The following is a 15,332-nucleotide window of genomic DNA, read 5'->3' as shown; positions in this document are numbered from 1 at the left end:
TACTCCAGCCTGGGTGACAGAGCAAGACTGTCTCAAAAAAAAAAAAAAAAAGAAAAAAGAAAAACCATGTAAGACCGTTGTTATATCAAATCCTCCCTACCTTGATTCCTGGAGTTTGAAGCTAATCTGGAGACTATATTAATATAACTGTCCCATTTCCTGGGTTATCATCAACACTGCTTCTTAAAACCACTGAATTACATCTACCATGTTTTTCTTTCATTAAAAGTGTCCTCCTCCAGCAGAAGTAATAAGTCAGGTTCCTTTCTCTAACCATGGCACTCAGGACCATTCCACTGAAATTATCCAGCCTTGCAGTAAAGCAGTGACAGTCTAATAATGTCCCTTTAAGTATACTACTCTGGTGTATATCTTCTCCTACATGTATTAGATGAGAGGTCACAGGCACTTCACAGGAGTATGTAAGGTGGTTCACCGAAAAATGATGACATAGCACCTGAACCCCCTGCAGAAGACATTCTTGTTCAGGCTGCTTGGGAGACAACACACAATGAAATGACAAGAGATTATTTTATTAAGTTGGTGCAAAAGTAACTGTGGTTTTTACCCTTACATAAAGCAGTCTGTCAAGTGCAAAATGGCAAAGTGCAGACTGAATACTACAATAAGGAAACAGCGGTCACCAGGATGAGAAGAGGTTAAATCACAAGAAGATTCTCAGACCTGGCTTTTGACCTGGCTTTAAAGAATAGGAATTTTAAAATTGAGATCAGATATACATTAGGAACACCTGTGTAGAAGCAGAATATTGTACATCCCATATTCCCTTTCCAAAATCTAGTTTCCTATGTTTGCAATCAAGTGATTAGGTCCTGCTCTTTCTAATTCAGTTCTAACAAATGAAATCTCATCTTAGGCTTTGGAAACTGTCTTCAATTAGCAGTTCAAGTAACAAAAGGAACTCTGGGCAGCTAAGATGAATAAATTTTAGAGAGAAAGCTGCAGAGACAGGAAAACTTTTACTATAACCTAATCATGTTCTGTATTTAGTGGTGATAAAATTATACTGGAAGTCTATTTTTTAAAAGCACTTTTTGAGACACCTGGACCTTGAAAGTTTAATATGCATCCTGTAAATATAATCACAGGTCTTTCATGCCATTTGATCATGGGGAAAGAATTCAAATTAACCTTTTGACATCTGAATTTGAATTTCAGAAGATAAAGACCATAGCTAAAAAGCCCTTAGAATTATCTTTTTCTCCTTTGTGCACAAAAGGAAATAAATCAATGACTATGCCTCAGTTGCCCTACTTGCAAAATAAGGATTATAACAGTCCAAATTATTGTGTAAAAGATACAATAACAAGTATATTTAAGTTACTTAGCACAGTGCCTGATACTAAAAGTGTGTTATAAGTGATAGCCATTGTTATATCCGCACATGAAAAGCCAGGGCAAAGCAAGGAATGTGGGAAGAAGTGAGTGAGTGTTAAGCAGTACAAAGATTAAGACAACGTGAGACCAGAGTTGCCACAGGTTTAAGAGCAGAATTTTGCAGAGGCAAAGGAGATCAACACTATCAAATATGGTGAAGAAGAAAGATGGGCAGGAATGTGAGAATATTATAGCAACTCCAGCCGTAGCCACACTGGAAAGGGTAGAAAACTACCAAGACAATTTCAATGGGCAGCCAAGCTCAAACTTAGAAAATAATGAAAAAAGACCAGAAGGAATTATCCCCATGTGAGTACCTGTCCCCCTTGAGCCCTTTTTCCTATGTTCAGAGAGTTTTCTGTAGTGTTTTTAAAGCCCAATTTGAAAGAGCCCTTGGCATGTTTAAAGATAGAAAAAGGTGGCCGGGCGTGGTGGCTCACACCTGTAATCCCAGCACTTTGGGAGGCTGAGGTGGGCAGATCACGAGGTCAGGAGATCGAGACCATCCTGGCTAACATGGTGAAACCCCGTCTCTACTAAAAATACAAAAACAATATCAGCCGGGTGTGGTGGCGGGCACCTGTAGTCCCAGCTACTTGGGAGGCTGAGGCCGGAGAATGGTGTGAACCCGGGATGCAGAGCTTGCAGTGAGCCGAGATCGTTCCACTGCACTCCAGCCTGGGCAACAGAGCAAGACTCTATCTCAAAAAAAAAAAAAAAAAAAAAGATAGAAAAAGATGAAGAGCAGATATTACCATTTCCTAGGAATTTCCTCTTCCTGCAACTACCAGGGTTATAACCTGGCCCTACTCCATAATCCTAAGGAGGCCAAACCCAGTTTTCCCCCTAGCAAGTTTGCCAGATTTCACTGGGTGCTGCTCTCTACCACATGCTGTTTGGCTGGCTGGTGTACCATTTACCTGAGCAGCACCTGGAAAGCTGTCACTACCAAGACCAGGAAGTTCCATAAAAGGATAAACTTTCAGTGGTGCCTGACTCAAAATATGACACTGTATTTTCAATAAGACAGATGTGGGGTACTTGGTGTTTATCTCGTAATGTCTTAATGACACATTTCAGTCATCACAGCTGAAAGTGATTCTGCATCTTGTACCAATTTGAAATTAAATACTACTCTTGGAAAAATGTATTAAAAACATTACACCCCACTTTCAGCAACAGCTTTCTGAGCCATACAGGATAAGCTGCTTCTGCATTTCTTTCCAGAGGTGTGAGTAATACCAAATTCAAGTCCATCCAGCTGTAAAAATTCTAAGACGAGAACTTCATGTTAAGGAAGGAAGTTTTAAAATTTAAAAGGCGTGACTGCACCAGGCCATATAACAGTCTGTTAAAATGAGAGAAGTAAATGAATGAGATAATACATGAAAGAAGTATTTCCAGCTAGTTTCACTGGATTCTGTTTTTAGGGACAGAAATCAAATGAAAAATGAACATGCTACAATGCACATGCAATCTCTTCTATTCCTGCTACTCCTGAAAACATTCTATTTGGTTAAAATAGCTAAGTCTTTCTCTCAAAATATAAATATATTTTTATATTTATGTATACATGCACATATACAGTCACCTTTTGGTATCTGTGGGAACTATGCAAATATGTTTTGGTTTAGAATGTTCTGTTCTGAAAAAATGAGTTAGTGAGTATATTTTTTCCCTAAGACTGAGCTGTTAGGATAGTTTAGTTTCTGCTATTACTAAATGTTGTCTTCTCTAAGCAAGATAACATACTTAAGCCTATTCAGATTAAGCTTTATTTCTCTGGGTTTGTACAACCAATAGGAGGGAAACCTCCACTTCTCTTGTGCATCCAAGAGGTAGAAGTGAGCCCATCAACCAGATAGGAGCAGACTGCTTCAGATGGATAAAAAATTGGGTGAGCAAAGAGAGAGAGATGGGAAGCACAATTCAGATGGGACGGCAGATCAGAACACTCCAGCCACTGTAAGAACAAGAAGCCTTGATAATGTGATGGCATGTCCTCCTGGTTGATGATGTTTTAACAACAGTCTGAGACACTCTGACTTTCTCTACATGGGGGCCTTGATGGAGACTCAGAGTAGTCACTGACATCAAATCTGCTACCAAGAGCATCCATTCAAGAGAGAATATACTGTTGGGAGATTGGAGGGTAGAGAAAATTGATGGTACTTCCTTTCTAATCCACTGAATGCAAGGTACAGGGCCTATTTTCCTCTTTTTGAATATCTAAATGAGTAGGCAAACTTTCTACAAAGGGCTAGATAGTAAATATTTTAGGCTTTACAGGTCATATAGTCCCTTGCAACTGCTCACCTTTGCTGCAACTGCTCACCTTTGCTGCCACAGCATGACAGTGCCAATAAACAATATTGTAAATGAATGTGGATAGTTGTGTTCTAATAAAACTTTATTTACAAAAATAAGCAACAGGAGAATTTGACCAGCATGGCACAGTTTTTCTTTTCTTTCCTTTTTTTTTTTTTTTTTGAGACAGTCTTGTTCTGTTGCCCAGGCTGGAGTGCAGTGGCGCAATCTAGGCTCACTGCAGCCTCCACCTCCCAGGTTCAAGCAGTTCTGGTTCTCAGCCTCCCAAGAAGCTGGGATTACAGGGATGCATCACCACGCTCTACAGATTTTTGTATTTTTAGTTTCGCCATGTTGGCCAGACTGGTCTCGAACTCCTGGCCTCAAGCAACCCGCCTTCCCCAGCCTCTCAAAGTGCTGGGATTAAGGGTGTGAGTCACCATGCCTGGCCATAGTTTCTACACCAAAACTAAATAATAGCTCCATGTGGGTGAGTTAAACAAGATCAAATTAAACTATTTCCCTAACTTGTAATACCTCTAGCTGATGCATGGACCATCCAACCATCCAGACCCACTCCACATAGAAAAATACTTACAAAATCTAATGCAATCCTATTACGCAACCACACAGATGAATGAGACAGGAATAGGAATTAAAACATACTAATTTATAGCTTGTTAAAATTGATCTAATAATGCTTAAATGTAAAGTTTGTCATGTCTTTCCTATCAGACATACATTTTCTACAGTCACCTATTTGTAAGATGCACATATCACGTGTTTCACAGTATGCCTGCAAGATGCAGACCTGATAAGAGCAATGGTCCAGGCATTATATGGTATTTTATTTATGACCCTAAGATGGCACCAAATTGTCACTTGTCAACTAAAGGGCACTTTGGTATACTTATCAGAGAAAACTTTAATAGAAAGTTCTTTAATGTAGTTGAGAAGATTAGTAATTTTTTAAAAAACTGTATTAAAAGGCACATTTTTCAAAAGCTACAAATCCAGAGCCCAAAAATGGATCTCTGGAATTTATATAGAACAGTTTGCTCAGTTTCTGGCATTGAGTGCTCATAACAATGAGATGTGGTTTCTACTCAAAAGGGTTATTAAGTAGAGCAATGCAACTATTGCTTAAGAAATAATGATTCTGGGGCACCCTTGGGTTAAATATGAAAAGAAGTTCTGTCAGGCCTAACAGCCATGAAGCCACCACAGAAATGTGGGCCTTTGTCAGTATATTTGTCAGTTTGGCCAGATTTGCGTAAAACAGGATAGGAATAGCAAAATCAGGTGTGTACGGTGACCTGCAAATGAAACACCATCTACCTGGAGCAGCTGTGCAAGCACAGGCTGTTACATCATATATGTTCACGTGTACACGAGAACACCAGCAGATTTACATTAGAAAAGGATTTCTAAGGATAAAAACTAATGGCTCAAATAATTGTTTTCACTTTTCTCCCCAAACTTTGACATTTAATTTTGAATGAAAGAGATCACCAAATTTCTGTTTAGATTTATCAACAAGTGTTTTCAACTTAAATTTTTAATGCTTTCTAAAACATAAAATCCCACAATTTTATATGCAAACTTATTGCTACATTCAAAGAGTGTTTACAAGAAATGAGGCTGGGCGTGATGGCTCACGCTTATAATCCCAGCACTTTGAGAGGCCAAAGTGGGCAGATTGCTTGAGCCCAGGAGTTTGAGACCAGCCTGGGCAACATGGCAAAACCTAATCTCTACCAAAAAAAAATACACAAAATTAGCTAGGTATGGTGGCATGCACCTGCAGTCCCAGCTACTTGAGAGGCTGAGATAGGAGGATCACTTGAGCCCAGGATGTCCAGGCTGCAGTGAGCCATGATCACACTACAGAGCAACACCCTGCCAAAAAAAAAAAAAGTGTACAAGAAACTGTACTACACACACACACACACACACACACACACACACACAAACACACACTAGAAATCTGGAAAGGTTATTCTTGTTGGCATTTCACTGGGCTCTGAAGTAGAGGTAAAAGCTCTGATTCTCAACATTGGGACAGAGAAAAAACGATTTCAACTTAAAGTAACACTGTCCAAAATGATCTGGAAGTGGACTGTATTGGAGCATTGTGTAGGATATGAGGCTAGAAAGGCCAAAAAAATTACGAGTAAAATTTAAAAAAATAAACAGGCCAACCGTGGTGGCTCATGCCCGTAATCCCAGCACTTTGGGAGGCTGAGGCGCATGGATCACCTGAGGTCAGGAATTCGAGACCAGCCTGACCAACATGGTAAAACCCTGTCTCTACTAAATATGCAAAAATTAGCTGGGCATGGTGGCACAGGCCTGTAATCCCAGCTACTCGGGAGGCTGAGGCAGGAGAATCACTTGAACTCAGGAAGCAAAGGTTGCAGTGAGCCAAGATCGCACCACTGCACTCCAGCCTGGGCAACAGAGCAAGACTCCTTCTCAAAAAACAAACAAATGAAAAACCAACATTGTTTTCTACTCTTCTGCCATAATTACTCATTCAGAGTAAGTAGCTGTTTTCTAATGGTAATGTTATTTACTCATTGGGGTTTCCTTACGTGGCATACCTTAAGCTATGTGGTATGCCACATAAACAGACACACACATATACACACACACACACGCTCTCACCTCTTAGAAAGTGTCTTACTACATGTATCAAAAAAATTGCTACCAGTAATTCAGATCAGTGTTTTCCAGTCAGTAACCTTAATAACAGATTCCCTATTAACATTCAACAACAAAGGAGATTGAAATATTATCTTGTCCTTCTGCATTTTGAATTTACACAACTGTTTGCTGATTAATAACTATGCTAAAGGAAAGTTTTTAAAGAAAATCTTATTTTGTGAAAGCTGAGTTTACTTTGACTTATCGCTTAATTTAACAACAACAAAAAAAATGGATGCTTGTTTTTCTACTAGCTTATAATTAGTCAGCTATAGCTTTGATTAACACATCCGTCTGGGAAATCTCAAAGACACCACAAGCTGTACATTTCAGATGGACCTGTGTCCCACTAAACCCTGCTTAGCTTAGGTTCTTCTGCTAATAGCTCTACTATTCAAGCCAAAGGCCACAGACTAGTATCTTTTCCATTTTCCTTTTCTCCTGTCCAGTCATGTCAATGCTATCTCTCAGAAGATACAAATTCAAAGCTGGGCACAGTGGTTCACACCTAATCCCAGCATTTGGGAGCCCAAGGCTGGTGGATCACCTGAGCTTAGGAGTTCGAGACCAGCCTGGGTAATATGGTGAAACCCTGCCTCTACCGAAAATACAAAAAAATTAGCCAGACATGGTGGTGTGCACCTGTAATCCCAGATACGCAGGAGGCTGAGGTGGGAGGATCGCTTGATCCTGGGAGGCAGAAGTTGCAGTGAGCCAAGATCACACCACTGTACTCCAACCTGGGGGACAGAGTGAGACCCTGCCTCAAAAAAAAAAAAAAAAAAAAAAAAGACAATTCAAATTCCATGCCTTTCTCTCCATCCTGACTGCCACAGCTCAATTATCCCTTTACTCCTTAAGCTTCCTTGATTTTCTAATTGGTCTCCCTATTTCAGTCTTCACAATTGACCCTCTGTGCTTCCATCAGCATGTTACGATACAAAAATCCAAACTCACATCAAACTCTTGAAATGCCCTGGCATGCTATCAGACAAATCAAATGTCTCTGCTTTCAGCATTAGGTTCCTGCCTATCTCTCCAACCCTTCACACTGTACCTCCTGCCTTAACAGTGTCAAACTCATTGTGGTTTTCACAGATTCCTTATAGCCCCTACCACCACCTCTGCAGAGGCTTTGCTGTTTGGCTGCACTGTCCTACTGCTTCTCAGCTGGAGTTTCCCAACTTAAAATTTGATTCAGCTGTCATTAGTTCTAGGAAATTTCTATGACAAATTTCTTTGAGGATCCCATGAAGTTATTTCTCTACTTCAACTACTGTAGCATTCTGGACAGCATTTACCACTCTAGTGGATATATTTCACATTGGTCTCCAGAACTGACTGAAAACTTCCTGAAGGCATGATACTACTTTTTCTTTTTAAATCTAAACCTACAACAATGTTTATGGACAATTGTATCTACATTAATACCAGGGACTGGTTAACCATTATCCATTATTAACAATAACCAACTCTTGACAACCAAAACCCAAAACAATGTCATTAAATAAGAGTTAATAGTTCAAGTGGTAACTGAGCTCAAGGAAACTTAACCATCAGAATGATCTGTCTGTCCAATCACGTACTAGTTAAGGATGAACATCCATACCACGTTTTAGTATGCAAATCAGCTGCTGTTTGGATTGCAGGAGCTCAGTCTTAAAAAGCACTTCAAAGATTTTCAAATGCCAATGTCAAGGAAACATCTAGTGAAAAGTGCACTGGACTCATTTTAATCTATGTGTATTTTTAAAGTAAATGGGCAAAGATCCCTATTTACTTTCTTGAAACAGCTTATTAGCAGTTATATCCCCTGCTATCTGTGTTCATGGGCTCCTACAGGGCAGGGATGCCATTATCGTTCTACTTCTAGCACACTCCAGGTACTAAAAAAATGTAATGAAAAGATAACCAGTTCATCATCTAACTTCATGGGTGAGTCATATGTGGAAGTGAATTGCCAAGTGACAGAGGCAGAAAGCAAGGTAGAGTTAATTAAGTTTCCTAAATATTATGTTTATTGTTTGCCTCCAATTCATTTCAGTGAGAAACTATTTTTAAGTGTGACCAATACTTACTTTACTTATATAGTATATCAAGGAGACCAAAACTTAAGTGATCTCAAAAAGACTACCAATGTAAAATACATACCCTACATGGGCATGGCAGGTAAATAATGTGTCTTATTCTTGTGAGGGTGGTTACTGCTATATAAATAAAGCCTGTATCCTGAGAGGGGAGGGTCTTCGGGTTTCATGGTTTCACTTTTGTTTCATCTCTGGGTCATGCAATGTCCAGCACAAATGTGACACAACATGTTCAGCCTTGTTCTGTGTGGCCAGTTTTGATCATTTCAGAACTGTTTACCTAATCAGTGAATTATTTTAAGTTCTTTTCTTTTCTTCCCTGATGTTTAGCCATTATGGGGCCAAATAACTCCATAAGGTAGTCTAACAGGGAAAAACATCAAGTAAGTTAGTATTGTTAGGGACTCTAGCAAGTCCTAGGATTAGGAAATAGGGTAAAAATTTAAAATTTAGATACTAGCCCATTTAACTCATCCATGTCAACTTGGATTAATATATTATGGAAAATTGCAATCTGGATCTGTACTGTACATTCAACTTCTTTTTAAATCATAGATTCTGTGTACTATGCATTCTCCAGCATCCATATGGATAATTTTAATTTCTGTATCTTCAGCATCCATATGGATAATTTTAATGCTAATAGTCCCCACTGGGATGTCATTAACTTAAGAAATCATTTTTATTTTTATAGTACAAAGCAAATGAATGTATAGGCACATTTATTTCAATCAAGTCATAATCTGAACCTAAAATGCAAAGCAAAACATTAACGTGCATTTAATACGTATTTCAAGTCTTTGTAACAGAGAATAAAAATCATTACAAAATTAAGGTATGAGACATCAAGTCACTAATGATAGAGTTGATTAGACAATGGCTTCCATGTTCCATCTAACGACATGGAACAATGTACATTTGACAATTCAGCCTTAAAGGGTTAAGTAGAATAAACTGCAGCCAGCTCCTTACACTCAACTGCCTCAGTAACAATGACTCAAAGAATAGATATTTTCCCTATCAATGACAATATTTCAGTGCTAACACTTGCAGTTTAATATTGGATAAAAGCTAAGGAGTGGTTCATCCTGACAGATTATAAAAGATAAAACTTATTGGCTTCAAGAAGGATTAAACCTGTTAGAATTGGGACCAATTTTTGTTTATATACTCAACAGAAAAACAAATTTCTAATTTTAAATTTCTGGCCCACATACTCAAAACAAATGACCTATACCTCATCAAGCTTTCATAAAAACTGATGGCATTACACACAAAATCCACCTATTTCCCTAGCATGCCCAATGAAACAAAAAGAAGGTACAGAACACATGATGAAAGTAGAAGAGATATACTCAGGTTTGTGCTAAAATCTAGGCCAAAGAAGCTTCAGATGCACACAGAGCAAGACCAGCAAAGAATCTTCCACATATACTCTGGTTCATAAACCATTTGTTTGGGTTTGGGGACTTTTTATTCTAAGTCCAGTAGCCTATACTTCCTAAGAAATATGATTAAAAACATACATAACAGTAAAAATAATAAAATAGAATTACTTAGCTGAGGTATTTGGATTTATATTTAGAGGATGACAAAATGATATTTGACAAAGTATATATCTTTACCTCAAAAAGGAAGACATGTTAATATAATTTATTATAAACTTCAACCCAATCAGTCTTAAATGTTTTTGACTCTATGACTAAGCGTTAATTATGGACACTGTTACCCTAGAACACCACTTGATAGCCCTGCATGAATTCTGCCAAACCAAAGACATACCTTTTTAAAATAAAAATAAAGCAACCATTTACACTTACTAAGAAAAACAAAAATTTACTTCAAATTGTAGTATAGGCTTTTCAATCACAAAAAGAAAGAAAAGAACAGTGATCTGACAGTGGTCACATCCTGTGCAAAAAACTTGATACAAAAATGATAGCACATGGTATCTGAGCTGCTTACATTACAAGAAAAAGGAAATACAGTAGCTGAAATATGGCACTCCTGGGAATCAACTTCTAAACCAAATAGAATGCCTTTGAAATGATTAAATTTATTTGTGTATTAGTAAGAAAGCCCCACCACCATAAATAGTACAATATTTAAAAATAAAAAAAAATATATCTATCTAAGATAGATAGTGTATTTGTACTGTTAGACTTCTTTAAGTGCAGAAGGTGGTTCAGGTTTTGCCTTTTTAATTAAATAACTGACCATATGCTTTATAAAGTTTCACTCAATCACAAAAGCCAATTTAAATCAAGGAATATGATATCAAAGTTGCATAATTTCATTTGGGACTGCCAGCAGGTTAAAGTCTTAAGTCTTTAACATTAATGTTCATTTTTAGTCAATGAATAGTTAAAAAGTTCTCAAATCTTCATATCCTCTTGAACTTGCCCTTCTAAATGATCCTCAGACTGCAATTCCTAGTTTGCAAATAAAATAATGCAATATGCATCATACTTCAAGAAAAGATGATGATGTCGAACTAACATGCTTCTGGATCTTTTCCCTGCTCCTTTCAACCTTCTTTATAATTTCTGCCACTATGCACACTGATGAGGTGAGACCCAAAAGAAACAACAGATCTGCAAGAGAAAATAAGTTGGGTTTTACATTTCTTTGAAACTTACAGTTGCAAAGCTTAATAGCTTACATTTTTCTAGCATTTTAACACAACTTTTTTTTTTTTTTTTTTTTTTTCTGAGATGAAGTCTTGCTCTGTCACCCAGGCTGGAATGCAGTGGCATGATCTCAGCTCACTGCAACCTCCGCCTCCTGGGTTCAAGCCATTTGCCTGCCTCAGCCTCCCAAGTGGCTGGGATTACAGGCATGTGCCATCATACCTGGCTAATGTTCGTATTTTTAGTAGAGAGGGGGTTTCACCATTTTGGACAGGCTGGTCTTGAACTCCTGACCTCAAGTGATCTGCCTGCCTCAGCCTCCCGAAGTATTGGGATTACTGGCGTGAGGCATGGCGCCTGGCCACCACAGCTTTCAAACACATTGTTTCACAACTATTCCATAAGGCAGGCACAATCACCCTCAGTTAAAAATAAGAAAAGAAAAAAAGATATTAAGTGACTTATCCAAAGTCACATAACTAGGAAAGGCAGCAGCCAGAATTAGAACCCAAGTCCTCTGACCACTTTCCCTGAAACCTTATGTGGCTAGCCTTTAACAGTATCACCAACAAAAGGAGTTTATTTCATAGATCACACAGCCCTTTAAAAAAGTACTGTATCAACAGTAGTAGACAATTTGAATGACAATGCCTATCTGAAGATTAAAAATTTGACATTAATATGTTCTATTTCAAAGCATAGAAGACTTGTCTTTACAATACTATCCACACTATCTCAATTCTTATTTACTGCTTGGAAAATTGCAGATGTTTCCTTAAAATGCCATTTTTTTAAAAAGAGGAAGAAATGTGAATATGGAATTAAAATACTGAAATTCAACTAGTTCAATTTTAAGGTAAATTTTAACTTACAAGAAAAAATACAGTGAAACTGTATAACTCCTTTTCATAAATACCCAAATTGAGAACTCAATAAAGGATAGCATTACTGTCAAATATATCATTCCTCACACCTACACAGGAAAACTAATTTTTAAATGCACTGTATTATACATTTAATAAATGGTAATGTAAGAAAAATGTGTAATTTCCAAATAGTCTTTATAAAACATTCTGCTATTTGGTCAGACTGACATTTTGTGAAATTAGAATGTACAAACAAGAAAGAATAATGAAATTATTAGTTTACTGAAAATTCTAACTTTAAAGAAGAGAGCAACTTGGTTTTCAGGGAGATTAAGTCTAGTTTTCTCTTCATACAAGATGGCATAGTACATAAAAAGTTATAAACTATACTCTAGAGCAGGTTTTGATTTGCTATATTTGAGAATCACGTATTATGATTTTTATAACAATTGATAACCTATAAAAGAGCAAAAACCAAAACCCTGGAGTTAGGAGAGTAATTCCCCTGAGCTTCCCCAAGTGAAAAAATAGACTCCTTTTTCAAATCAAGTGAGTTACTTATTTTGCTATTTTAAAAGAATTTTAAAATTAAAACAAACACATTAGAAAATATGATTTATCTAAAATACATAAATGATAAAGATAACGTTTTCTTTACCCAGTATGCTTAGGCTCTCAGTCTGAAAAACCTTCTGAAGCGGAGGAAAGTAAATAACTAGTAATTGTCCCATGATGGATCCAAGAACTGCATAGCAAAACATTCTATTACTGCAGAGTCCAATCTCAAACACAGACTTGGTCTGTTGGCAGAGCAGAGAGTTCATTTATTACTCCTTGGTCACAGAAATAACTTCTTTATTATATTCACTTCTAATTTTTAACAAGCAGTGTCACTTTATCACTGAATTGTGCAATGTCAATTCTATGAAATATCTTAAATTTTACTACTGTTTTGGAATAATTCAGATGGAATAAAAGTAAATATTAAAGTAGCTTTTATTTTATTTATCAAGAAAAGGCTTGCTTAAAAAGTGACACTATATAATTTAGACCATAGAAAGAAAAGAAACCTTTTAACATCCCAAACATCAAGAAACTTTATTTGTATTTTGCTAAATCATTTCTATACATTCACTAAGGTAGATAATCTAAAATCCTTTCTTGGAGAATGGACCTAATTGTGTGTGTACTGAAAAAGTAAAACCACTTTTCATAAAAAAATAAATATTACAGCTTCTTCAAAAATTGGTCAATTAGTGAGAATTCGCTGTACTCAGAAGTTCCAGCATGGCAAATGGTAATATAGTTAAGGATTCATAAAGTGCTTTAAAGCTGAAATGAATAGTCATGCCTCAAATGAAACTAGTTTTTAAGGACAATATGCTCTAAAAAAGTACCATAAAGCTCTAGCCCATTATTTTCTATCAAAACACTTAGACCAAGAAGCAGCAGTCACACCTTAAGATACAACAAGGGAAGAAAAGCAAAATTAGAATGTCCTAAGCTTTGACACAGTGACAGGAGTGATGGGAAAAAAAATAGGCACATAACTGCTCTTATACTCCTAGCAATACTGTCTTTTAAAATGAGACTAATAAAATCTCAACAGAAACTATGAGGTTTGTTCTATGCTCAAATAATGTTAACCACGATCTATCTTATAGCTATAGCCAGCTAAACGCAGATGACAACACCTGTGAATTATTAATACTTTTATGTTCTAGTCAGACATAAAGCTTACCTCCCACAAATGCCCCATCCTCATTGTGACCAATGGCACATGTTTATAAGAAGGCTGTGTCTGGGGCTGCAATCTGTGGCTACAAAATTAAGCAAAGCTAAAAACCCATAATCTTTGCCTACTTATTAGAAAGCACTCTACTCAAGTGAGTCAATCAAGTCAATCAACTAAGTTCACCTAAACATACCTGGGATCTGGAACTTAGTGCATTGAACATGTCAAAAAACACAAAGCATGTGAAGGTCATTGTTGTGTCTCGAGGTGTAATCACATTGTCTCGTAGCTGTCAAGAGGCAATAACAAAATTACTTTTCAGTGGCTGAATTTAATGGATAAATCGCTGCTTTTTAAAAAATATAAACATTTTCTTTCCATTAGGAAGAAATAACTTTAGCCTAACACATGAAACATAAAAGCTACCTAAATTTCCTATAAATCACCTAGTGAATAGCTGTAATCTACATAATAAAAAGTAAAAAAAAAACTTCTCATGAACTATGTATTAGATATTAAAATACTGTTATTATTTAAAAATAATAAAGTGGCTCTATGATTTTAAGACTCAGATTTTCCAACTTCTCTCTAAATTTTCATGTATTTTTATTGTAACTGATACTTCTCTGCAGATTTATTCTAATACATGAATCAATAATTTTATTTATCCATAAAGATGGAAATCAAACTCTTTTAAAATGTTCTTATATTTTTCACTAAAAGAGCTCCCTTAACTTCCCAGCCTTCTGGGTAACCCATCAAAATAACTAAGAATCCTATCAGATATACAGAATTCATGTTAATATAGCAGCTTGGCCAGTGAATATACCTCACGCCAGAAGACAAACAAAGTCCCACAAACAATGATTATTGATGAAACAAGTATTTTAAGTATCAAGTTTTTAGTCAAAATGCTGTCTTTCCAGTTGCGAGGAGGTTTACGAATGACATCTTTATCCACTGGTTCTACTCCAAGGCTTAAAAACAAACAGAAAAATAAATTACTTTCAAGTTTTAAGGTCTGGATTTGTTACTTTCACAACCTCACTAACCTCAATTATTCGGCAAACTAAATGCTTTCTTATAGAAACAAAATGTTGCATCATAAAACGCTGGCTGATTACGCAAAAATAACCACTGATTTTGTCACTTTTTCTCTCCTCTTTATTTGTTTGGCACAATTTGATAGGGGATAGATAATCAACTTTCAAAAAACCATCCAATTCATTTACATGTAAGTTTACCTATTTCAAATACGGTGTGAAATACATGACCTACCGACTGAATTTTGAAATATCTTTCATATAAAGAGGTTTTAACTGGGATGATTTGCTGGAGTGGCCAAATGACATCTATCACTCAACTACCCCATTATTATTAAATTTTTTAAAAAAGTTATGACACTCAGGTCCTCTAATACTTTCCCAAAGTCTCTAAAACTGACAGTAGAACCTAGATAATAAAACTGAACCCAGAAATTTCTCCATTATACCCATTTCTTAGAAATAAAAGGCTTACTTACTTCCTGAGGACAGGGATAGCACCTATTCCTGATCTATTCTCAACCTTAGGCTAGGCATCTAACAGTGGAAAGGCTCAGATC

The 15,332-nt window shown here is 36.7% G+C and overlaps 1 protein-coding gene across 22 annotated transcripts in view; it reads right to left on the bottom strand.

The window, feature by feature from the left end:
• Window positions 1-15,332, bottom strand: part of ATP2C1 (ATPase secretory pathway Ca2+ transporting 1) — a 166,118-nt gene that overhangs the window by 4,401 nt on the left and 146,385 nt on the right. For 8 of the 22 annotated variants that reach the window (NM_001378511.1, XM_047447960.1, NM_001199182.2 and 5 more), the window contains 4 exons: window positions 14,559-14,706; window positions 13,923-14,018; window positions 12,653-12,794; window positions 10,968-11,092 (listed from right to left, as the gene is read on the bottom strand). In NM_001378511.1, coding sequence (NP_001365440.1) covers window positions 10,968-11,092; window positions 12,653-12,794; window positions 13,923-14,018; window positions 14,559-14,706 — 511 coding nt within the window. Of the gene's footprint in view, window positions 1-9,161; window positions 11,093-12,652; window positions 12,795-13,922; window positions 14,019-14,558; window positions 14,707-15,332 lie in introns of those variants that run through there. The other 14 variants (NM_001199180.2, XM_047447961.1, NM_001001487.2 and 11 more) reach the window with 3 other exon arrangements.

The sequence above is a fragment of the Homo sapiens genome, chromosome 3 (genome assembly GCF_000001405.40).
Source record: "Homo sapiens chromosome 3, GRCh38.p14 Primary Assembly".
Taxonomy (NCBI): Eukaryota; Metazoa; Chordata; class Mammalia; order Primates; family Hominidae; genus Homo; species Homo sapiens.
The sequence above is the reverse complement of the archived record's forward strand: the minus strand, read 5'-3'. Positions and strand labels throughout refer to the sequence as shown.